The sequence below is a fragment of the Homo sapiens genome, chromosome 12 (assembly GCF_000001405.40).
Source record: "Homo sapiens chromosome 12, GRCh38.p14 Primary Assembly".
Taxonomy (NCBI): Eukaryota; Metazoa; Chordata; class Mammalia; order Primates; family Hominidae; genus Homo; species Homo sapiens.
This window is the reverse complement of record NC_000012.12, coordinates 121307450-121332808: the sequence shown is the minus strand read 5'-3', so window position 1 is coordinate 121332808 and position 25359 is coordinate 121307450. Positions and strand designations below refer to the sequence as shown.

Below are 25359 nucleotides of genomic sequence, written 5' to 3'. Positions count from 1 at the left end.
ATAAATGAGGAGAGGTAGATTTTTATTAATGTGTACATTTTCCTTAATTCCTGATTTACTCAGGCCCAGGCTTCTTTGTTTCTGGTCTTGGATCTATGGGCCTGTGTAAATCTTTGTCACTTAGCTAAAAGGATTTCTTGAAAATCCTTGTAGTTGTTTATTGAGCATTTACTGTGTACTAGGCACTATTGTAGGTACTAGGGATACAGCAGTGAAAAAGAAAAAAAAAAACTTGTTATAGAGCTTATATCAGGGGAAATAGGGAATAAACAACGCTAAGCATAGTTGTAATATCTCAGATAGTGATAGACCAGGATAAGAGGTTAGAAAGTGAAGGTGAAGTGCTCTTGTTTTCCTGAGTAACACTCTTACTCCAGATACATATACAGGTCACTCAACTCCTTCAATTTGTAAATCTCTGGTTAAATAGAAAGGTAGCAGATCAGCCCTCCTTGATCTCTGCCAACTTAATATTTGAACAGAGATTTAAAGGAAAAAATATTACAGAAGTGGGAATCCTCAAAATACTTTCTAAAACTAGCTTTGGGCTGGGCACCATAGCTCATGCCTATAATCCCAGCACTTTGGGAGGCCAAAGAAGGAGGATCGCTTGAGGCCAGGAGTTGGAGACCAGCCTGGGGAACACAGTGAGACTTTATCTCCTTAAAAAAATTAGCTGGGCATGGTGGTATGAGCCTGTAGTCCCAGTTACTTGGGAGGCTGAGGCAGGAGGATCGCCTGAGGCCAGAAGTTTACCAGCCTGGGGAACATAGTGAGACTCTATATCTATTTTTAAAAAAATTAGCCGACCAAGCATGGTGGTGAGTGCCTTAGTCCCAGCTACTCAGGAGGCTGAGGTCCATCGCCTGAGTCCAGGAATTCAAGGCTGCAGTGAGCTAGGATTGTGCCACTGTACTCCAACCTGGGTGACAGAGGGAGACCCTGTCTCTAAAAAACAAACAAACAAACATAAAAGTGATTTTGAAAAAATGATAAAAGTAACAAATGCACATAGTAAGAAAAAAGGTCAAATAATGTAGGAGAGAATGCCATGAAAAGTAAAATATTATATCCTCTCCTTGCCCTTCCCCTCAGCAGTGGACCTTTAAAATAAACATCTTAGAAGCGGAGATAAAAGCCTTTGCTTTATGCCCTTTTCGTAGCAATTCCCCTTAGAAGAGACATGTCCTATATTTCCACTGTCAGTGTTTTCTGCTGCTAGGGTTGGGGCACGCCTCTGAGAGAATAAGCCCAGAAATAGTTACAGCTTCCAACCCAGAGACCTGCATTTGGATGACTGTGTACAGATGACTTCCTGCTATGGTTGCTTATGCATGTTTGTGATTATTAATGGGATATTAATGTTTAGTCTGTCATTAGTCAACAGGCAGAGCTCGCCCTGCAGGAGGCAATTAGGATTGCCCAGGAGTCCAACGATCACGTGTGTCTCCAGCACTGTTTGGTGAGGCCATCCTCTGGTCTTGGGAGTTTTGTTCACGGGTTGAATTGGCCTTCACAAGGCCCCGTTGAATTGGGTTGTTTTGCAGTTGGAGCAGAGATCTTCAGCAGCAAAAGGAAACAAGTTAGGTGGTCATGGGAATTCAGAAAGGGCAACTTATCTTTACTTACCTTTCTTAATTCATGACATCTGTTTTGCTTTTGGCATATATCTGCTCTACAAAGTTTAATGCAACTTGCCATGAAAGAAGAGAAACCTTTATCACATTTAGCACTGGCATTAACAAAAGATGTATACTACACTTAGTAACTGGGTGAGATGTTGTCCTGTAATAGCAAAATCACCAGGGCAGTGGAACACAGAAGCTACTTGACAAGCACCTGAGAATCTTATTTCTCAATTGAAGGCCATATGGGAGCTTCATGCTTTTTTTCTGAAACACCTGCCACTCAGTGGCTGTCAGGTGAAGCAGAACAATGACTCATTTATTTCAGCCTGGTTTTAATGATGTTGATATGTTTGACAGGTCTCATTGAGATTCTTGATATTTCTTGAAAGAGTATTTGAGAGGATTCATTTTGTCCCTTTTAAATTCTTTCTTATGACCACATTGATATTTCACTAGAACATCAGCCATTGCCACTGTTATGATATATTTTGATGATTTCTCTTGCCAGAGCTGGCTTTATGTGCTGGGGCAGAAGAGATCCGATAGCTATGTTCTGCTGGAGCATTCTGTGAAGAAGGCAGTACATTTTGGGTTACCGGTAAGGCTCATCTTTCTGTGAGATTGTTTCCATAAATGGTCGAGCCTTTGTCTCTTTTTCTGCCCACCTCTGTCATTAACCAGCGATAGATTTAGAATGGGTTTCAAAGTGTGGTTTTATTCTTGGCAGTTTCATATGACTTTAATTATTAATCAGACCACTAAATTCTGTGTGGTAGGTTTCTCTCTGTTCCCTGTATCCTAATAACATCTGTGGAAATTCCCTTTACCAATTTGATAAGAGATCATTGTTTAGTTTATTGAGCAACATTAATTTAGCACATAGTCACTTAGAAAAATTTTAGCAAAGGCTTATTTTTAAACCAGGGATTGGTGAACTTTCCCGCCCTTGGGCCAAATCTGGCTTTCTGCCTACTTAGGGGCTTCAGGCTGAGTGGATTTTACATTTTTAAGTGATTGCAGAAAAAAAAAATCAACAACAGAGAAGAAATACGTGACAGAAACCAAGTGTGGCCTGAAAAATCGAAATTATTTACTCTCTGGCCCTTTACACAACAAGTTTGCTGATCCTTGTTTTAAACAATAAACAAAGCCAGGAACCAGTAAACCTGACAGGCAGATTTGTCCTTTCTCGTTTTGAGTGATAGGGAAGGCCGTGAATTATAGTCCTCAATGACATACACAGAGGGGCATTGAAAAGGCTTATCTGGCTGGGCGTGGTGGCTCACACCTGTAATCCCAGCACTTTGGGAGGCCGGGGTGGGTGGATCACCTGAGGTCAGGAGTTCGTGACTAGCCTGGCCAACATGGTGAAACCCTCTCTCTACTAAAAATACAAAATTAGCTGGGTGTGGTGGGACATGCCTGTGATCCCAGCTACTTAGGAGGCTGAGGCAGGAGAGTCGCTTGAACCTGGGAGGTGGAGATTGCAGTGAGCCGAGATTGTGCCATTGCACTCCAGCCTGGGCAACAAGAATGAAATTCCATCTCAAAAAAAAAAAAAAAGGAAGCACAAGCTTGGAGAACCTTATTCTCTCTCAGAAACACCCATTGAAAACTAGACCATAGGCAGTGGGATTGCTTAAGCATTCTGTCTTATGAAGTTTGTGACAGACTTCAGTAAAATGGAAAGTAATTACAGGTAGTAATTTAATGTATACACTTTAAAATCGGCCTGGCGTGGTGGCTCACACCTATAATCCCAGCACTTTGGGAGGCCAAGGCGGGTGGATCGTGAGGTCAGGAGTTTGAGACCAGCCTGACCGTTATGGTAAAAGCTCGTCTCTACTAAAAATACAAACATTAGCCGGGCGTGGTGGTGGGCGCCTGTAGTCCCAGCTACTCTGGAGGCTGAGGCAGAAGAATTGCTTGAACCTGGGAGGCGGAGTTTGCAGTGAGCCGAGATTGCTGCACTGCACTCCAGCCTGGGCGACAGAGCAAGACTCCGTCTCAAAAACAACCCTAAAACCAAAAAACAAATCTGTAGCTTGTCCATTGATTCACACCTGGGAAAGAAACTCATACGTACAGAATTGATTATAATGACAAAAGTGGCTCCTTGAAGTAAGCGCAGGCTTAACTACAATTTTTGCCATGAATTTAAGCTGGCATTTTTTAGTTGAGCTTTCATCCTTGAAGATGACACCAAAAGCTAATGACAAGATAATTTTGTTGCTCATGATAGGCATCCTTTTTTGATCTCCTATTACATATGTGCGCAGCACTGTTTGACATCTATTATTTCATTGTAATCCTTACGATAATTCTTTATGATAGGTTTGATGCCCATTTTACAGATGAGGAAGCTGAGGCTTAGCTAAGAAGCTAAGTGACTGGCCCTAAGTCACACAGTAAGTAGCAGAGGCAGTGTTTAAGTCCAGGTCCATCTAATGCTAAAGCCCTGCTGGCTCTTTCCCGTGTACCCTCTGCCTCTCTCCCAGACCCAGTTTTTCAGGAACACATCTCGTATGGCTCAGGGTTAAGGCCAGGTTATAGGTACTTTCCTTTTAAATAGTGCTGTCACTGTGCATGTGCTGAAATGTGAAATCCACCACATTTCTGAAGAGCAAAACAAATTCTGTCATGTAATCTCTATCTTGGGTCGTGGGTATATCTGTCCCCTTAGTACCTCGCCTCCCTGGGAATACAGTCCCTTGTTCAACAGAGAGCTTTTGCTGGGAAGACGGCAAACAAGCTGATGGATGCCCTAAAGGACTCCGACCTCCTGCACTGGAAACACAGCCTGTCAGAGCTCATCGATATCAGCATCGCACAGAAAACGGCCATCTGGAGGCTGTATGGCCGCAGGTAGGTCTCCCAAGGCCCTGGGGGTGTGAATTCTTTAGAGAGAAGCAGGAGCTAGCAAGCTGGTTCTGTGAAAGGCCATACATACAAGATTTACCTGCCTTGGATAGATGTTGTTCCTGCAGGGGACTATGTTTTAGACTATAAAACATTTTGTATTTTGCACAGACTGAAAACTTTTTTCCCATGCATGTTCCTTCTTACTCCTCCCAACCACTTTGTGAGGTAATGGGTGGGTGATCTCCATGCTGGGAGAGTAAACCAGGGTTCACACATCTGATCTACCCGCGATCGCAAACGCAGTTAACAAGTGACAGAGAAAGGACTCAAACCCACGTCATCTGACTCCAAGCACCGGGCTCCTCTGCTCTGTGACAGGAACCTTCCTGTTTATAGGAGGCATGATCCATGGTTGCTCTAGTTGAGTGTCACCTGAACCCCAAAACTATTGTGTAAAAGAAAGTTGCTTTTCTGTTAACTGAGGTGTTTTCTGTGGAATATTTTCATCTTATTGTGTACTTTCACATTTAGCCACTTTTAGCCTGGAAGTAAACTTTGTTGCCGCATTTTAATCCTGGAGTTCTGTCGCTACCTCACCCCTCACTTAGACAGTCTGTTTCTAGGAATTCAGTAATGAAAGGAAGTGCCTTTTTTACCAGTCTTGTTTTTGTATTTCAGATAATTTTTTGGCACGGTGTGCTCTGAAACAGCTGCAGACACTGGCCACTGCTTACATTGCCAGAGCAGTCTGTGCCAGGATGGCATCGGGTCTGAATTCACCCGTGAAAACTAATTAACATACTATGACTGCAGGGAACATGGGGTGGGGGCGGGGGGATCTGGGAGCGTGTACTCCCAGCTGTGCCCTAACCACTACGTGTCTCCTCGCGCTGCACATCCAGGATGCTTTTCTGCCTTTCTTATCCTGAGGGCAAGGTTGCTGGCACTGGGAGGCATCTGCTCCCAAGAAAGCCAGAGCCTGTGAGGTGTATGACTTTACGCCTCCACTCAAGATAGCTGACGGGCATGGCCAAAGCGCAGCCAGGTCTGCTGCTGAAAGGAAATCCTGTTCCCTCTCCCCACCCAGCACCATGGCACTGCAACAGGCCCAGATGTTGCTGAGCATGAACAGCCTGGAGGCGGTGAATGCGGGCGTGCAGCAGAACAACACAGAGTCCTTTGCTGTCGCACTCTGCCACCTCGCAGAGCTACACGCGGAGCAGGTAGGCAGGTGGCCGGGCCCACGTGCTTCTGGAGCAATGGAGGCTCTACCATTTCTTTCCTCTAATGCTTGAGGAAAGCACTGGACACGTGTTGGACAGTTCTGCTCGACACTGTGGCTGAAAGAGTGAAATCCCACCAGTGGAAGGGGACCAAGGGTGGAGTCTGCAAAGTTGGTTGAATTTGAGGTCTTTTTTTGGCATCAATGAAGGGAATTCTAAGAGGTCAGCCAGTTTCATGTAACTAAGGAAATAAATAGGATTCTTTGACATTTAAGGTAGCAGAGGTTTGTGTGTTTTAGGAGAGAGGAGAGTATAATAGAAGTATATCTGAAATCATAATAACTAATGTTGGTTGTAAATTTGTTCTGTGCCAGTCCCTGTGCCTATTTTATGGGTACTGTCTCATAGAATCCACTTCATGGGCTCAGGTTTGTTGTTATCCCTATTTCACAGAACTAAAGACTGAGGTCCTGGGAGCTAAATCCTGTATCCAACACCTGTAAATGTCAGAGGCAGGTCTCCAACCGAAACCTGGTTGACTCCAAAGAAGAGCAGTGGGAATGGGACATAATCTTGATGACTTACAGCTCAAGTAATTTGACGAGATTCTCTTTATAAGGGATCAATTAAAGTATCTCTTCTGCTACTGTAGGCTTTATCTTCCCTTTATTCAAAATATCTTCTTTCATGGGAAAGAGTCAGGGAAAACTATTTTATCTAAAGCCCTCCATCTCAGTAAACACTGCTGTGGCAATCCAGATGTTTCCTTGATCATATTTTTCTCTTCCTCTTTGTGATACCTGTTACTGTTAGATTGCATCATAACACTCAACATTCCCTAATTGCAGCCTAAAGATTTTTGGGTGGTTTCCACTCCTTTCAGAAGTCTAGACATACTTCCCTATAGCAAACATGTTAGCATTTTACAGTCTCTTACATGGCTGTGTAAACTGAGGGGTGGATGGGCCCTGACTGATGGGTTCCACGGCGCCTTTGCCAGCTGGTTTCTTCCCATGTCTGGGAAGCACTGCCCATGTTTTCTGAGGTCGAAAGGGCTAGCTGGTTGCTTCCCCTGGGAATGTTGCAAGTCTGTCTCTCGCTTGTTTCTTCCCTCTTCGTGGCACTGGCACCTCCTTAACATCACTTCTCTTCCTTTCCTGGTGCCTTGGATAAGAGAAGCATCTGGTAATGAATGAGTCGGTGAACATATTGAAGTATTTAGTTTTTTTGAAACGGAGTGTCGCTCTGTCGCCCAGTCTGGAGTGCAGTGGCACGATCTCAGCTCACTGCAACCTCTGCCTCTGGGGTTCAAGCAATTCTTGTTTCTCAGCCTCCCGAATAGCTGGGACTATAGGTGTCCACCACCATGCCCAGCTAATTTTTGTATTTTTAGTAGAGATGAGGTTTCACCATGTTGGCCAGGATAGTCTTGAACTCCTGGCCTCAGGTGATCCGCCTGCCTCAGCCTCCCAAAGTGCTAGGATTATAGATGTGAGCCACCATGCCTGGCGAAATTATTTTTTTTTACTATTAGAATAGAAAACTACTTTTCAAAAACCTTAGTCTTGGTTCAATTCTTTTTTTTTTTTAATTTTTAATTTTTAATTTATTTTTAATTTAATTTTATTTTTTTGAGAGGGAGTCTCACTCTGTCACCCAGGCTGGAGTGCAATGGTGTGATCTCAGCTCACTGCAACCTCTGCCTCCTGGGTTCAAGCGATTCTCCTACCTCAGCCTCCCAGGTAGCTGGGATTACAGGTGTGTGCCACTACTCCCAGCTAATTTTTATGTTTTTTGTAGAGATGGGGTCTTACCATGTTGGCCAAGCTGGTCTGAAACTCCTGACCTCAAATGATCCACCTGCCTTGGCCTCCCAGAGTGTTGGGATTATAGGCGTTAGCCACCGCGCCCAGCCAGTTTTTAATTTTTTTTGAGACAGGGTCTCGCTGTATCACCAGGGCTGGAATGTAGTGGTGCAATCACAGCAAACTGCAGCCTCAACCTTCTGGGCTCAAGTGATCCTCCCACCTCAGCCTCCTGAGTAGCTGAGACTATAGGAGCGTGCTACCACACAGCTAATTAAAATATCTTTTTGTAGAGATGGAATCTCACTCTGTTGCCCAGGCTAGTCTCAAATTTCTGGGCTCAAGCAGTCCTCCCACTTCAGTGTCACAGTGTTGGGATTACCACACCCAGCGTATTTTTTATTTTTTTAAGAGATGGGGTCTCACTGTTGCCCAGGATGGAGTGCGGTGGCACAATCATAGCTCACTGCAGCCTTGAACTCCACCTCAACCTGCCTAGTAGCTGGGACTACAGGTGCACACCACCTCATCCAGCTAATTATTTTAATTCTTGTTTCTTAGAGATGGAATCTTTCTATGTTGTGTTGCCCAGGCTGATCTTGAACTCCTGGCCTCAAGTGATCTTCCTGCCTTGGCCTCCCAAAGTGTTGGAATTACAGGTGTGAGTCACAGTGCCTTGTGGCTCAATTCTTTAGCCTTGTAACTTTGTTCAAGGCCATTTGTTAGAATTTTGTGTCTTTTTTTTCTGGGAGTAAGACCCTAAAAAGTAACCATGCTCTTTGGGTCTATATTAATAATTCCATCTTCATCTCCCTTTCACCTCTGGGCTTATGTGAAAAACCTGCTGACCCAATCATTGTTTGGCTTCAACAGCCAGGCTGTGTTAGGAAGCCTTTTAGTACACAACTAGAAGGTAGCTGCCTTTTTTTTTTAAGTCAGTCCTTTACCCCTTTCTTCATCTTGCCTTAGATCTTTCTAGTTTTAGAACATCAACCGTGTGGATATATATATACTTACTGGGCTGATGACTGTCACATTTTTAATTAGACAAGTTAGACTCATACTTGTGAAATTAAGTTTGGCCAGCTGCAGAGAAGGCAGCTTTATCATGAGTCTCCAGTTACTCTTTTCTTTCTCTTGTATCTGCTTCTGAAACTTTCCTTCAAGTAAATTGGATGGTGCACGTTGTTTTGTGGTATGAGAGTGATTGGGGTTTCGGTAAGCCCATAAATAAGTTATGGGGCTCAGAACTGCTTTCTGAGCTTCCTCTTGCAACCCAGAGGAGGTAGAGTGAATTCTTTTTCTAATATAACCATTCTCCTTTGCTCTTTCCATGTAATTCTAGCTCATCTTATATCACTCCTCTCTCAGTCTCAGGAATTGCAGGCCACGATGGGAATATTTTTGGGGGATACTGCAGGATCTATATCCCCATGCCCGACTCCCTGTGGCGGTCATGAAAATAATTGGTGAGACTGGCCAGTTAAAATCACAGGAATAATGATCTTTTATTGTAATTCTATGTAATTTCTGCTTATTCACTTCAAATAAAAGTCCACATGTGGCCTGAGCGTCTATGTAGACAAAAAGTGCATTACCTCATGAAAGGATTGAGACAAATTGAAAGTATTTCGGGATCAATAAGATAAACCTCCCAGTTGGGTGCTGTTTATCTTTATACTTGTAATCCCAGCACTTTGGGAGGCTGAAGCAGGCGTATCACTTGAGCTCAGGAGTTTGAGACCAGCCTATGCAACATGGTGAAACCCCGTCTCTACAAAATATACAAAAATTAGCTGGGTGTGGTGTGTGGTGGCACATGCCTGTAGTTCCAGCTACTAGGGAGGCTGAGGTGGGAGGATTGCTTGAACCTAGGAGGTAGAGGTTGCAATGAGCTGAGATTGCACCACTACACTCCAGCCTGGGCAGTAGAGCAAAACCTTGTCTCAAAAAAAAAAGATAAACATCCCGACAATATAAGAGTATAAAAAAGTCATGAATGTACATTCACAGAAAGCATGGCCCAAAAACATGAAAACATTTCAATCTAGTCATTGAAATTAAATTTAAAGCAGTTAAGGTACTACTTTCACCAATTATATAAGCAAAGATACTTCAGTGTTAGAGGAAGAAAAGCACAGAGTTCTGGTATGAAAGTACTTGGTACATTTATATAGGGTAATTTAGTAATATATCTCAAAGAACTTAAAAGTGCCTGTCATTTCCACTTCTAAGGTTTTTTGTTTGTTTGTTTGTTTTTGTTTTTGAGATGGAGTTTTGCTCTGGGGCCAAGGCTGGAGTGCAGTGGTGTGATCTCAGCTCACTGCAACCTCTGCCTCCTGGGTTCAAGCGATTCTCCTGCCTTTGCCTCCTGAGTAGCTGGGATTACAGGCACCTGCCACTGCGCCCGGCTTATTTTTTTGTACTTTTAGTCGAGATGGGGTTTCACCATGTTGGCCAGGCTGGTCTCAAACTTCTAGCCTCAAGTGATCTGCCCTCCTTGGCCTCCCAGAGTGCTGGGATTACAGGCGTGAGCTACCGCACCCAGCCTACTTCTAAGGTTTTATGCTAAGGAAATAATTGGACCAGTATGCAAAGCTCTATGCACCAAGATATTCATTGTAGCATTTTTTAAATGGAAAATATTAGAAATAACCAAAATATCAAAAACCAGATTATTTTCATGTACCATAATTGATTTTCCCGATAAAATACTACGATGATATAAATTTGTATTTATTGACATTGAAAGATTTATTCATTCAACAAATATTCATTGGATGCCTACCATGTGGTAAACAGTGTTATAAGTAATTTATAAAAATATATGTAAGCTGGACACGGTGGCTCATGCCTGTAATCCCAGCAATTTGGGGGGCTGAGGTGGGCAGATCACCTGAGGTCAGGAGTTGGAGACCAGACTGACCAACATGGTGAAACCCTGTCTCTACTAAAAATACAAAAACTAGCTGGGTGTGGTGGTGTCTGCCTGTAATCCCAGCTACTTGGGAGGCTGAGGCAAGAGAATTGCTTGAACCTGGGAGGTGGAGGTTGCAGTGAGCCTAGACCACACCACTGCACTCCAGCCTGGGTGACACAGTGAGACTCCCTCTCAAAAAAAAAAACAGGCCAGGTGCGGTGGCTCACGCCTGTAATCCCAGCACTTTGGGAGACCGAGGCAGGCGGATCACGAGGTCATGAGATCGAGAGCAGCCTGACCAACATGGTGAAACCCTGTCTCTCCTAAAAATACAAATATTAGCTGGGCGTGGTGGCATGCACCTGTAATCCCAGCTACTCAGGAGGCTGAGGCAGGAGAATCGCTTGAACGCGGGAGGCAGAGGTTGCAGTGAGCTGAGATCATGCCACTGCACTCCAGCCTGGTGACAGAGTGAGACTCTGTCTCAGAAAAAAAAAAGCAACAACAACAGCAAAACCCAAAAGTAATTTGTCAGCCGGGCACATTGGCTCATGCCTGTAATCCCAGCACTTGAGGAGGTTGAGGTGGGTGGATTGCTTGAGGCCAGGAGTTTGAGACCAGCCTGGCCAACATGGCAAAACACTGCCTCTACTAAAAATACAAAAATTAGCTGAGCATGGTGGCGCGCACCTGTAATTCCAGCTACTCGGGAGGTGGGGGCTAAGACATCAGAATTGCTAGAACCCAGGAGGAGGAGGTTGCAGTGAGTCAAGATCATGCCACTGCACTCCAGCCTGGGTGACAGAGCAAGACTCTGTCTCAAAAAAAAAAAAAAAAAGGATTTTGTATAGCCAGGTGTGTGGTGGCATGCACCTGTATTCCCTGCTACTCGGGAGGCTGAGATGAGAGGATTGATTGAGCCTAGGAAGTTGAGGCTGCATTGAGCTGAGATCAAACCATTGCTGCATTCCAGCCTGGGAAACAGAGCAAGACCCTGTCTCATAAAAAAAAAAAAAAAAAAAAAAAAGTAATTTGTTTGTTCTTGTTTACATGTATTTTGTAAGTGTTTTTCTAGAATGGATATGTCTTACGTGTGTAATTAAAAAAAAATTTTTTTTTTTGAGACGGAATTTTGTTCTTGTTGCCTAGGCTGGAGTGCAATGGCACGATCTCAGTGCACCACAACCTCTGCCTCCTGGGTTCAAGCGATTCTCCTGCCTCAGCCTCCCAAGTAGCTGGGATTACAGGCATGAGCCACCACGCCCAGCTAATTTTGTATTATTAGCAAAGATGGGGTTTCTCCATGTTGGTCAGGCTGGTCTCGAACTCCCAACCTCAGGTGATCCACCCGTCTTGGCCTCCCAAAGTGCTGGGATTACAGGCGTTAGCCACCATGCCTGGTCTTAAAATATTTTTAAAATAAATTGTATTAGCCTTTAAATAATGGCCCTTAGAAATTTGAGTCTCTGGCCAGGCATGGTGGCTCACGCCTGTAATTCCAGCACTTTGGGAGGCTGAGGCGGGCAGATCACGAGGTCAGGAGATCGAGACCATCCTGGCTAACACAGTGAAACCCCGTCTCTACTAAAAATACAAAAAAATTAGCCGGACATGGTGGCAGGCACCTGTGGTCCCAGCTACTCAGGAGGCTGAGGCAGGAGAATGGCGTGAACCCGGGAAGCGGAGCTTGCAATGAGCCGAGATCGCGCCACTGCACTCCAGCAGGGCTACAGAGCGAGACTCTGTCCCAAAAAAAAAAAAGAAAGAAAAGAAATTTGAGTCTCTGACCAGTATCTCTCAGGTTGCTGCATCAAGAACGGGAACAGGTGAATCTGTCACCATCTGTGCATGGTACAGCAGGTGTGGATTCAACACAGGTTATGCTGATCAAATTGTGTGTTTCTACTTTAGGGCTGTTTTGCTGCAGCTTCTGAAGTGTTAAAGCACTTGAAGGAACGATTTCCGCCTAATAGTCAGCACGCCCAGGTAATCTGCCTTTTGCATGGCAATAGATTTATTTCTGATAAAAATAGCTTTTATTATAATATAAAGTGGGACATAATCTCCCCTCAGAAAAATAATATTGAGCTAAAAAGGAACTTGTCAAAGGATGCTTACAAGTATGATATTATTTATATAAAGTTTAAAAACACAGGCTCATACTCTATGTTGTTTAGAGACAAGGGTATATGTTGTAAAAGTATAAAAAACCTGAATGAGAATGATAAATACCAAATTGAGTGCCTACTTTGAAAAAAGAGAAAGAGACGTAGAATTTGCAAAGGACTTCATTGGTATCTAATAGTATATGAAGCAGATAAAGCAAAATGTGAGTTGACAAAGTTGATGATTGGCACACATGTATCTGCTATTTTATTCTCTGTGCTTTTTCACATACTTGAGATATTTTAAAAAAATTTTAAATCCCCCCAAAAAAGAATATGTGTGAATTATTGTAAGGATATTTGCTAAGCAATCCAAAATACTTTCATATACTCATTAAGATGAACATTCGCCATTTTGTACTTAATTGTGTTTTTTTTTCTTACTAGTTATGGATGCTATGTGATCAAAAAATACAGTTTGACAGAGCAATGAATGATGGCAAATATCATTTGGCTGATTCACTTGTTACAGGAATCACAGCTCTCAATAGCATAGAGGGTGTTTATAGGTAAGAAACCTTGAAAACTCTAACCCCAGAATAAAATAATTGTTAAATGGTTTTGTTTTTGTTTTATATGTGCATTAATTTATTTTAGCTTAGAAAAAAACTTTATTTTCTTAATAAATAAGAAAATACAGGTAAGCAGCTGGGCATGGTGACTTACACCTGTAACTGGGCATGGTGACTTACACCTGTAATCCCAGCACTTTGGGAGGCTGAGGCGGGCGCATCACTTGAAGTCAGGAGTTTGAGACCAGCCTGGCCAACATGGTGAAACCCTCTCTCTACTAAAAGTACAAAAAATTAGCCAGGCATGGTGGTGGGTGCCTGTAATCCCAGCTACTTGGGAGGCTGAGGGAGGAGAATTGCTTGAACCCATGAGGCGGAGGTTGCAGTGAGCCAAGATCGCACCATTGCCTCCAGCCCAGGCAACAGAGTGAGACTCCATCTCCAAAAAAAAAAAAAGAAAATACAGATAAGCAAAATGAAGAAAATAAGTATCTCCCAGAGATAATCATTAACATGCTGTTATCTATAATTCCAGAATTTTTCCTGCATGCGTGTGTGTGTGTGTGTGTGTGTGTGTGTTTGTGTATACACAGCATGCTCACATACATGCTCACACACACATTCATACACACATACAATTTATTCTTTCAACAACAAAAACATTTTTTTTTTTTGAGGCAGAGTCTCACTCTGTCGCCCAGGCTGGAGTGCAGTGGCACGATCTCAGCTCACTGCAATCTCTGCCTCCTGGGTTCAAGCGATTCTCCTGCCTCAGCCTTCTGAGTAGCTGGGATTACAGGTGCCCACCACTACGCCCAGCTAATTTTTTGTATTTTTAGTAGAGGCAGGGTTTCCCCATGTTGGCCAGGCTGGTCTCGAGCTCCTAACCTTGTGATTCGCCCGCCTCGGCCTCCCAAAGTGCTGGGATTACAGGTGTGAGCCACCGCGCTCAGCCTCTTTCAACAAAAATTAAATCAGGCACAGTTTTTTCCCTTGGGAGGTTTATAGCGCAATTGAATAAATTGAGATTCTTACCCTCAAAGTGACTAGTTAAAACACTTGTGTTCATTTTGATTCTGTTTCAGGAAAGCGGTTGTATTACAAGCTCAGAACCAAATGTCAGAGGCACATAAGCTTTTACAAAAATTGTTGGTTCATTGTCAGAAACTGAAGAACACAGAAATGGTGATCAGGTAAGGGGTCTCTTGTACATCTCACGGAGATGTGGTGGTGGATCTTCTCATCCTGTGTTTTCCTCTTTACGGTCAGTGTCCTACTGTCCGTGGCAGAGCTGTACTGGCGATCTTCCTCCCCTACCATCGCGCTGCCCATGCTCCTGCAGGCTCTGGCCCTCTCCAAGGAGTACCGGTTACAGTACTTGGCCTCTGAAACAGTGCTGAACTTGGCTTTTGCGCAGGTAAGCCGATCTCTGTTTTTATAGCACATATTTGTGCTCAAGAGCTGGTGAGTCTGTGACTACGTTTGAGTATTGAAAGGATAATAATGAGTTTTCATTTGTTCATATTGACGTCTGGAAAGGTAGTCTTCCTGTGCAAGCCCTCCAAGGAGGCCTGTGGAGGTGTGAACCTGGTGACAAACTGACACTTTCCAGTGGCACTGGCTTTCCTGAGCTGTGTATTCAGTAAGGAGGACTCGCCTCTTCAGTGAGAACACCTGCATCATATTAATGATTAGCTGACACAGAGTGATGCTTGATTTAGCAACAAGGGGATGTGAATAAAGAAATGAGGAACACAGATGTTCATTGAAAGCTTTTGGAAATCAAATTGTATTTTATGTTTGTTTTCTTTCTCCCCCAGTAAAGGCCATGAAGGAATTGACTCTTCATTTTCATCTATATTCCCTAGTACCTTATAGGCCCTACACATAGAAGGCTTTCAATAAATATTAATCAATGAATGAGTGAAGGTCAAATGCACTGGAAGAATTTATTAATTAAAGTGGAGGTTCTCCAAACTGGCTGTACATTAGAATTATTGCGGAGATTTAAAAAATATCTTCGTACCTGAGGCCTTGCCTCAGACCTACGGAGTCAGAATCTCTAGGGGTGGAGCTAAGGAATCTGTTTCTTACTACCTTCCTCAGTGATTCTTTTTTTTTTTCTTGAGATAAAATGTACATGGCCAGGTGTGGTGGCTCATGCCTATAATCCCAGCACTTTGGGAGGCTGAGGTGGGCAGATCACAAGGTCAGGAGTTCAAGACCAGCCTGGCCAGCATGGTGAAACCCCATCTCTATTAAAAATACAAAAATTAGCCGGGCGTGGTGGCACGTGCCTGTAATCCCAGCCACTCGGGAGGCTGAGGCAGGAGAATCGCTTGACCCTGGGAGGCGGAGGTTGCAGTGAGCCAGGATCGTGACACCGTACTCCCAGCCTGGGCAACAGAGCGAGACTCCATCTCAAAAAAAAAAAAAAAAAGTATGTAACACAAGATTTACCACTTTAACCATTTTAAAGTGTACATTTCAGTGGTTTTGAGAATATTGACAACATTGTGCAACCATTACTGCTATCTAATTTCAGAGTATTTTCATTACATAGAAAAGGAAACTGTACCCATTAAGCAGTCATTCCCCAGTCCTCCCTTCCCCCAGCCTCTGGTAACCTCTCACCGGTTTCTGTCTCTATGAGTTTGCCTATTCTGAACAGTTTGCATAACTGGACTCATATAAATGTGGCCTTTTTTGATTGGCTTCTTTTACTTAGCTTGATGTTTTCAGGTTTTATCCATGTAGCAATAGGTATCAGTGCTTCATTGTTTTTCATGGCTGAAGAATATTTCACTGTATGGTTAGATCACATTTTGCTTATCCATTCATCAGCTGATGGGCATTTGAGTCGTTTCCACCTTTTGGCTGTTATGAATAGCGGCTCTTTACATTTCTGTACAGCTTTTGTTTGAACACCTGTTTTCTTTTTTTTTTTTTTTTTTTTTTTTTGAGACAGAGTCTCGCTCTGTCACCCAGGCTGGAGTGCAGTGGTGCAATCTCGGCTCACTGCAAGCTCCGCCTCCCGGGTTCATGCCATTCTCCTGCCTCAGCCTTCCGAGTAGGTGGGACTACAGGCGCCCGCCACCACGCCCAGCTATTTTTTTGTATTTTTAGTAGAGATGGGGTTTCACTGTGTTAGCCAGGGTGGTCTCGATCTCCTGACCTCGTGATCCGCCCACCTCGGCCTCCCAAAGTGCTGGGATTACAGGCGTGAGCCACCGCGCCCGGGGTTGAATACCTGTTTTCATTTGATGCCTACGAACGGAATTGCTGAGTCATGATAATTTTGTGTTTAACTTCTTAAGGAAATGCCACAGTGGCTGCACCATTTTGTTTCAACCTGCAATGTATGAGGGTTCCAATTTCTCCACAATCTTGCCCACCCTTGTTATTTTCCATTTTTAATTATTACATCCTTCCTAGTGGGTATGAAGGGGTGTCTCATTGTGGTTTTGATATGCACTTCTCTAATGACTAATGATGTTGAGTATCTTTTCATGTGCTTATTGGCCATTTGCATATGTTCTTTGGAGAAACGTCTATTCCGATCCTTTACCTGTTTTTTAACTAAGTTGTTTATCTTTTTGATGTTCACTTGTAAAAATTATTTATATATTGTGGATACTAGACCCTTATCAGATATATAATTTACAAATATTTTCTCCTGTTCTGTGTTTGGTCTTTTCACTTTCTTGTTAGTGTCTTTTGATATACAAAAGTTTAAAATTTTTATGAAGTCCAATTTATTTTTCTTTTGTTGCTTGTGCTTTTAGTATCATGTCTAAGATACTGACAAATCTAATGTCATGAAGATTTTCTTCTATGTTTTCTTCTCACAGTATTATAGTTTTAATGCTTATGTTTAAGTCTGAATAATTTTGAGTTAATTTTTGTATATACTATGAGATAGGGCTCCACTCTTATTCTTCTGCATACGGATATAGGTTATTCTAGCACCATTTGTTGAAGACTCCTCTTTCCCCATTTAATGGTTTTGGTACCCCTGTTAAAAACCAGTTGATCAAAGAAAAAAAAGAAAACAACTGATCGTAGATATATAGGTTTATTTTCGGACTCTCAATTCTATTCCCTTGATCTATATGTTACCCTTATGCCAGTACTACTTTGTTTTGATTACTATAGCTTTGTAGTAAGTTTTGAAATCAGGAAGTGGGAGTCTTTGTTCTTTTTCAGGATTGTTTTGGCTATTCAGCATCCCTTGCAATTATATGTTGATTTTAGAATTAGCTTGTTCATTTCTGCAAAAACAGTAGTTGTAATTTTGATAGGGATTGTATTTGAATCTGTAGGTCAGTTTGGAGAACATTGCCATCTTAATGCTATTCTCTTCCAACCCATGAACACAGGATGTCTTTCCTTTTATTTGGATCTTTAACTTACTTCAACAATGTTTTGTAGCTTTCTGTATATAAATCTTTCACTTCTTTGGTTAAATTTATCCCTAAGTATTTTATTCTTTTTGATGGTAATTTAAATGAAATTTTTTTAAACATTTATTTTTGGGTTGCTAGTTTATATTGATCTTATATCCTGCAACTTTGCCAAACTTATTACCTGTAACAGGTTTTGGGGATTTTTTTTTTATGGTTTTGTATGTATAAGATCATGTCATCTGCAAATAGAGATAGTTTTACCTCTTCCATTCCCACTTAGATGCCCTGTATTTCTTTTTCTTGCTTAAATGCTTTGAGTAAAACTTCCAATACATGTTGAATAAATGTGACAAAAGTGTGTGTCTTGGCTCGGTGTCTCACACCTGTAATCCCAGCACTTTTTGAGGCCAAGGCAGATTACTTAAGGCCAGGAGTTCGAGACCAGCCTGGACAACATGGTGAAACCCCGTCTCTACTAAAAATAGAAAAATTAGCTGAGTGTAGTGGTGGTGGTGCATGCCTGTAATCCCAGCTACTAGGTAGGCTGAGGACTGAGAATCACTTGAACTCAGTCCTCAGGAGCTGGAGGTTGTAGTGAACCGAGATCATGCCACTGCACTACAGGTTGGGCAACAGCAAGACTCCCTCTCAAAAAAAAAAAAAGTGTATGTCCTTATTTTGTTCCTGTAGGGGGAAAGCGTTCAGTCTTTCATCATCAAATATCATGCTAGCTGTGGGTTTTTTATAGAGGTTGAGGAAGTTCCCTCTATTCCTAGTTTATTTAGTGTTTTTTTCATGAAAAGGTATTGGATTTTGTCAAATTTTTTTTTTCTGCATTGATTGATTTGATCATATGGGTTTTTGTTTGTTTGTTTTTGAGATAGAGTGTCACTCTGTTGCCCAGGCTGGAATGCAGTGGTGCAGTCTTGGCTCACTGCAACTTCTGTCTCCCAGGCTGTCTCCCAGGTTCAAGCAGTTCTTGTGCCTCAGCTTCCCAAGTAGCTGGGATCACAGGTGTGCACCACCATGCCCAAGTAATTTTTGTATTTTAGTAGAGACAGGGTTTTGCCATGTTGGTCAGGCTGGTCTCTAACTCCTGGCCTCATGATCCACCCACCTCTGCCTCCCAAGGTACTGGGATTACAGGCGTGAGCCACTGCGCCCAGCCCCGATTTTTTCTTTCATTTTATTTATATATTTGTGTATTGAACTACCTTGCATTCCTGGAGTAAATTTCACATGGTCATAGTGTATGTTCCTTTTAACGTGCTATTGGATTTGGTTTGCAAGTATTTTGTTGAGAATTTTTGCATCTGTATTCATAAAGGATGTTGATCTGTGGTTTTCTTGTGATATCTTTCTTTGGCTTTAGTATTAGGGTAATAGTGGCCCCACAAAATGAGTTAGAAAGTATTCTCTCTTCTCCTTTTTCTGGGAAGAATTTGAGAAGGATTGGTGTTAATTGTTTTAAAGTTTGGTAAAATTCACCAGTGAAGCAGTCTGGCCCTGGGCTTTTCTTTGTTGGAAGTTTTTTTGGTTACTAATTCAGTCTCTTTAGTTGTTATAGGTCTATTCAGATTTCCTGTTTCTTGAGTCAATTTTAGTAGTTTGGTCTTTCTAGGAATTTGTTCATTTTACCTTTTATCTAATTTCTTGCATAGAATTGTTCATGGTATTCTTGTATAATCCATTTTACTTTTGTAAGGTTGTTAGTAAAGTCCCCAGTGTCATCCCTGACTTCGGTTATTTGAGTCTTGTCTCTTTTTTCTTGGTCAGTCTAACAGTTTATCAATTTTGTCGATCTCTTCAAAGAACCAACTTTTGGTTTTATTGATTCTCTCTGTTGTTCTCTTAGTCTCCATTTTGTTTATCTCCACTTTAATCCTTATTTTTTCCTTGGTTCTGTTAGTTAGCTTTAGGTCTAGTTTGCTTTTCGTTTTCTAGTTTCTTTCTTTTTTTTTGAGATGGAGTTTAGCTCTTGTCACCGAGGCTGGAGTGCAATGGTGCAATCTTGGCTCTCTGCAACCTCCGCCTCCCAGGTTCAAGCAATTCTCCTACCTCAGCCTCCCGAGTAGCTGGGATTACAGGCGCATGCTACCACGCCTGGCTAATTTTTGTAATTTTAATAGAGACGGGGTTTCGCCATGTTGGCCAGGCTGGCCTCGAACGCCTGACCTCAGGTGATTCATCCGCCTTGGCCTCCCAAAGTGCTGGGATTACAGGCGTGAACCACCGCGCCCGGCCTCTTTTCTAGTTTCTTAAGGTGGAAGATTCGCTTATTGATTTGAGATCTTCTTTCTTTTGTAATGTAGGCCTTTACAGTTATAAATTTCCTTGAGAACTATATTTCATAAATTTGTAGTTTATCCCACAAATTTCATAAATGAGAGTCTGTGTATTTTTTTTTTGAGACAGAGCCTTGCTCTGTCACCCAGGTTGGAGTGCAGTGGCACAGTCTTGGCTCACTGCAACCTCCGCCTCCTGGGTTCAAACAATTCTCCTGCCTCAGCCTCCCAAGTAGCTGGGATTACAGACGTGCACCACCACACTAGGGTAATTTTTTTTTTTTTTTTTTTTTTTTGTGACAGAGTCTCGCTCTGTCGCCTAGGCTGGAGTGCGGTGGTGCGATCTCAGCTCACTGCATCCTCTGCCTCCCAGGCTCAAGTGATTCTTCTGCCTCAGCCTCCTTAGTAGCTGGAACTACAGGCATGTGCCACCACACCAGGCTAATTTTTTTTTTTGTATTTTTAGTAGAGCTGGGGTTTCATCGTGTTAGGATGGTCTCGATCTCCTGACCTCATGATCTGCCTGCCTCGGCCTCCCAAAGTGCTGGGATTACAGGTGTGAGCCGCTGTGCCTGGCTACCTGGGTAATATTTGTATTTTTAGTAGAGATGGGGTTTCATCATGTTGGCCAGGCTGGTCTCGAACTCCTGCCCTCAGGTGATCCACCCGCCTCAGCCTCACAGAGTGCTGGGATTACAGGCATGAGCCACTGCGCCCAGCCAGAGTCTGTGGTATTTTTATACACCTCATTGCATTTTCTAATTTCCCTTGTGATTTATTCTTTGACACATTGGTTACTTAAGAGTATGTTAATTTCCACATATTTGTGAATTTTCTGGTTTCCTTCTGTTACTGATTTTTGATTTAATGTGATCAGAGGAGATTCTTTGTATGATTTCATTCCTCTTAAATTTATTGAGTGTTATTTTGTGGCCCAAACACAGTCTATCCTGGAAAGTGTTCCATATGCACTTGAGAATAATTTGTATTCTGATGTATCATTGGGTGGCATGCTTTATATATATATGTTAGGGCCAGTTCATTTGTAGTGTCATTCAAGTCTTCTCTTTCCTTGCTGATCTTCTGTCTAATTTTTCTATCTGCGATTGAAAGGTGGGATATTGAGCTCCCCAACTATTATTGTGGTTTTTGTTTTGTTTTATTTTGTCTGAGACAGAGTCTCACTCTGTTGCCCAGGCTAGAATACCATGGCACAATCATGGCTCACTGCACCCTCAACTGCCTGAGCTCAAGTGATCCTCCCACCTCACTTTTCTGAGCATCTGGGATTACTGGTGTGCCTTACCATAACCAGCTAATTTTTTATATTTTTGTAGAGATGGGTTTTTGCCATGTTACCCAGGCTGGTCTCAAACTCCTGGTCTCAAGAGATCCACCTGCCTCAGCTTCCCAAAGTGCAGGGATTACAGGCATGAGATACTGTGCCTGGCCTATTATTGTTGAATTGTCTATTTCTCCCTTCAAATCTGTCAGTTTTTGCTTCATATGCTTTGGAACACTGTTGTTTGGCTTGTTTATAATTGTTATATCTTGATGAATCGACTGTTTCATGAGTATATAATGTCCTCCTTTTTCCTTGTCTCTTGTAACGGTTTTTAACTTAAACTCTATATTGTATGATACTCATATAGGCACTCCAGCTTTCTTTTGGTTATTGTTTGCATGGAATATTTTTCTATCCTTTTACTTTCAGCTGATTTGTGTCTTTATTTTATTTTTTTAGAGACAGGGTCTCACTCAGTCGTCCAGGCTGGAGTGCATTGCTGCAATCGTAGCTCACTGTAACCTTGAACTCCTGGGCTGATGGGATCCTCCCAACTCAGTCTCCCAAGTAGCTAGGACTACAGGAGAGCACCATCATGCCTGACTAATTTTTAAAGTACTATTTGTGTCTTTTAATCTACAGTGAGTCTCTTGTAGACAGCATACAGTGGATACTTTAAAAAAAAAAAGTTTGTTCTCACAATTTCTGCCTTTTAATTAGAGAGTTTAACTCATTTACCTTTAATGTCATTATTTCTAATTTGATTTTTTTTTTTTTTTTTTTTGAGATGGAGTCTCACTCTGTCACCCAGGCTGGAGTGCAGTGGTGTGATCTCTGCTCACTGCATCCATTACCTCCTGGGTTCAAGTGATTCTCCTGTCTCAGCCACCAAAGTAACTGAGATTACAGGTGCGTGCCACTATGCCCAGCTAATTTTTGTATTTTTAGGAAAGACAGGGTTTCACCATGTTGGCCAGGCTGGTCTCGAACCCCTGACCTCAAGTGATCTGCCCGCCTGCACCTCCCAAAGTGCTGGGATTACAGATGTGAGCCACTGCGCCTGCCTTGTTTTCTATATGTCATATCTTTTTTGTCCCTCAGTTCCTCCATTACTGCTTTCTTGTGTGTTAAGTAGATGTTTTCTAGTTTTATTTTGAGACAAAGTCTTGCTCTGTTGCCCAGGCTGGAGTGCAGTGGCACGATTGTGGCTCACTGCAACCTTGACCTCCTGGGCTCAAGTGATTCTCCTGCCTCAGCCTCCTGAGTAACTGGGACTGCAGGCATGTGCAACCATGCTCAGCTAATTGTTTTAAATTTGTTTTTTGAGACAGGGTCTTGCTGTGTTGCCCAGGCTGGTCTTGAACTCATGGCCTCAAGTGATCTTCCTGCCTCATGCTCCCAAAGTGTTGGGATTATAGGCATGAGCCACTGTGCCCAGCTCTAGTGTACCATTTTAATTCTCTCTTTTTTTTTTAAACATACTAACACCAACCGGAATCTCTTGTTTCTTTTGCTTTATTCTTTTGAGTTATTTTCTGGATTGTTACCTTTCTCCCACCTAGTTCAACCCCTCAGAATCACCAAGCTAAAGGATATTAATGCTGGATCTTTTTGTAAAGACAAGAACCTTTTCATAGTGTGAATAACCGCCCCCTGCTATATTTGTCATAGTCTGAAATCAGATTGTCACATGTTGTGTTTTCTAGGAATGTGGTTCCTGTTTTAACGTAGTACATGTCAGGTAAAAGGTAAGCCAGAGATAGCCATTCAGGAGAGAACTGCCAGAAATGAAACGCTTCCTGGTGAAGGGCAGTGGGTTTGGGTATGTACAGTGCCATGATGTTTCTTTTTCAGCTCATTCTTGGAATCCCAGAACAGGCCTTAAGTCTTCTCCACATGGCCATCGAGCCCATCTTGGCTGACGGGGCTATCCTGGACAAAGGTCGTGCCATGTTCTTAGTGGCCAAGTGCCAGGTGGCTTCAGCAGCTTCCTACGATCAGCCGAAGAAAGCAGAAGGTAGGAAGCTGTACGAAGACTGTTAGGCAATGCTATTCCAGAAAGCATTGAAAGTTTAGGACCCAGAAGAAGAAAAGACATTAAATTTGGGACAGCATTTAAGTTCTGAGTGTTCACAAATATATATTAAAATTTCATGCAGCATTTAAAGTGCTTTCACATGCATGCTTGGCAGAAAGATTGAGGACAAGTGAATGGCTATTTTAACCCTATAGAGCCAAGTACCAGGCTAGAAGTCAGGAGTTAAAGACTTTTTTTTTTTTGAGACAAAGTCTCACTCTGTAGCTCAGGCTGGAGTGCAGTGGCGTGATCTCGGCTCACTGCAACCTCCGCCTTCCAGGTTCAAGCAATTCTCCTGCCTCAGCCTCCTGAATATGTAAAGGCGCACACCACCAAGACTGGCTAATTTTTGTATTTTTAGTAGGGCTTTCTCCATGTTGGTCAGGCTGATCTTGAACTCCTGACCTTGTGATCTGCCCACCTCAGCCTCCCAAAGTGCTGGGATTATAGGTGTGAGCCACTGCGCCCGGCCTTTTTTTTTTTTTTTTTTTTTTGAGATGGAGTCACTCTGTCGCCCAGGCTGGAGTGCAGCGGCGTGATCTCAGCTCACTGCAACCTCTGCCTCCCGGGTTCAAGTGACTCTCCTGCCTCAGCCTCCCAAGTAGCTGGGATTACAGGTGCCTGCCACCACACCTGGCTAATTTTTGTATTTTTAGTAGAGACAAGGTTTCACCATGTTGGCCAGGCTGGCGTCGAACTCCTGACCTCAGGTGATCCACCCGCCTCGGCCTCCCAAAGTGCTAGGATTACAGGCATGAGCCACTTCGCCCAGTCTTAAAGACCTTTTTGAAAACCTCACCCTAGTGGTTTGTTTTTTCTCTCTCAAAGAATGGAGAATATAAAAGAATCTTCTGGTAGTTGTTGAACAAATAAAACTAAATACCACGTTTTGAAAACTATACGTGAAGGGTTGAGTTAAATGTGTGTGTTATTTTCCCCTTTCCGTCAGCTCTGGAGGCTGCCATCGAGAACCTCAATGAAGCCAAGAACTATTTTGCAAAGGTTGACTGCAAAGAGCGCATCAGGGACGTCGTTTACTTCCAGGCCAGACTCTACCATACCCTGGGGAAGACCCAGGAGAGGAACCGGTGTGCGATGCTCTTCCGGCAGCTGCATCAGGAGCTGCCCTCTCATGGGGTACCCTTGATAAACCATCTCTAGAGAGGACATCCCTGCTGGGCTGCTGTGCAGAGTATAAGATTTTGGACTTGTTCATGTCCCCTCTCTCCCTATAAATGATGTATTTGTGACACCCTATCTTGTCAATAAACAGCATTCTGATTAGTTTGTCTTATTTTGTTGCTAGTAACTACGTATTTGTTTTATTCCCCTTTTCTTCCCTTTTGGTAGCAAAGGACACCAACTTTTTCTTAATAAATGGGTATTTTGCTAACAAGTTAGTGCAAGCATCTCAGATTATGTTCTCTCTGGGCAAAATTGCCAATATCTTGATTAGAAATTGTACACACTCCATCATTATGTAAATTCATTTAGCACCTATTCTCAGACAAGAGCTCTTCCTGGAATTGGTAGATCTCTCCAGGGTGGTCAGTGCAGGTCTGTATGAGGCTTGGACTTTCTTCTGAGGCCTCCCTGCCTTGTTGGACTGAACCAGCGCTTGTGGTTCCTGTGGCTGCTCACGAGGACTTGTTGGTCCCTGACTGGAGATTAAGAAGGAAAAGATTTTTTCATAATTTTTGGACCAATGACCAGGAGCATTTTTCAGTCCCTTTCTAGATGTTGGCTTTCTTATATATTCTGCATGGGCACTTTTTTTTTCTATATTTAACTCTATAAATGAGGGATGATGATAAATTACGTCCAGGAATTCATCATGAGTAAGGTGATTATAAATTAAGGGGGCCGGCTGCGGTGGCTCACGCCTGTAATCCCAGCAGTTTGGGAGGCTGAGGCGGGTGGATCATGAGGTCAGGAGATGGAGACCAGCCTGGCCAACATGGTGAAACCCCATCTCTACTAAAAAAAAAAATACAAAAATTAGCTGGGCATAGTGGTGCATGCCTGTAATCCCAGCTACTCGGGAGGCTGGGGCAGGAGAATCACTTGAACCCGGGAGGTGGAGGTTGCAGTGAGCCAAGATCGCACTACTGCACTCCAGCCTGGCGACAGAGCAAGACTCTGTCTCAGAAACATAATAATAAAAATAAATAAGAAAGGGTCCAAAGCTCAG

The 25359-nt window shown here is 42.9% G+C and overlaps 1 protein-coding gene across 3 annotated transcripts in view; it reads left to right on the top strand.

Moving 5' to 3' along the window:
• The window catches only part of ANAPC5 (anaphase promoting complex subunit 5), a 45965-nt gene extending 21401 nt beyond the window's left edge, over positions 1–24564 (top strand). For 2 of the 3 annotated variants that reach the window (NM_001137559.1, NM_001330489.2), the window contains exons 8-17: positions 1381–1462; positions 2137–2226; positions 4351–4493; positions 5578–5713; positions 12350–12424; positions 12991–13112; positions 14201–14308; positions 14385–14532; positions 22946–23108; positions 24118–24564. In NM_001137559.1, coding sequence (NP_001131031.1) covers positions 1381–1462; positions 2137–2226; positions 4351–4493; positions 5578–5713; positions 12350–12424; positions 12991–13112; positions 14201–14308; positions 14385–14532; positions 22946–23108; positions 24118–24329 — 1279 coding nt within the window. In that variant the 3' untranslated portion in view covers positions 24330–24564. Of the gene's footprint in view, positions 1–1380; positions 1463–2136; positions 2227–4311; positions 4494–5577; positions 5714–12349; positions 12425–12990; positions 13113–14200; positions 14309–14384; positions 14533–22945; positions 23109–24117 lie in introns of all 3 variants that reach the window. The other variant, NM_016237.5, reaches the window with a different exon arrangement.
• The last annotated feature ends 795 nt before the right edge of the window (positions 24565–25359 follow it).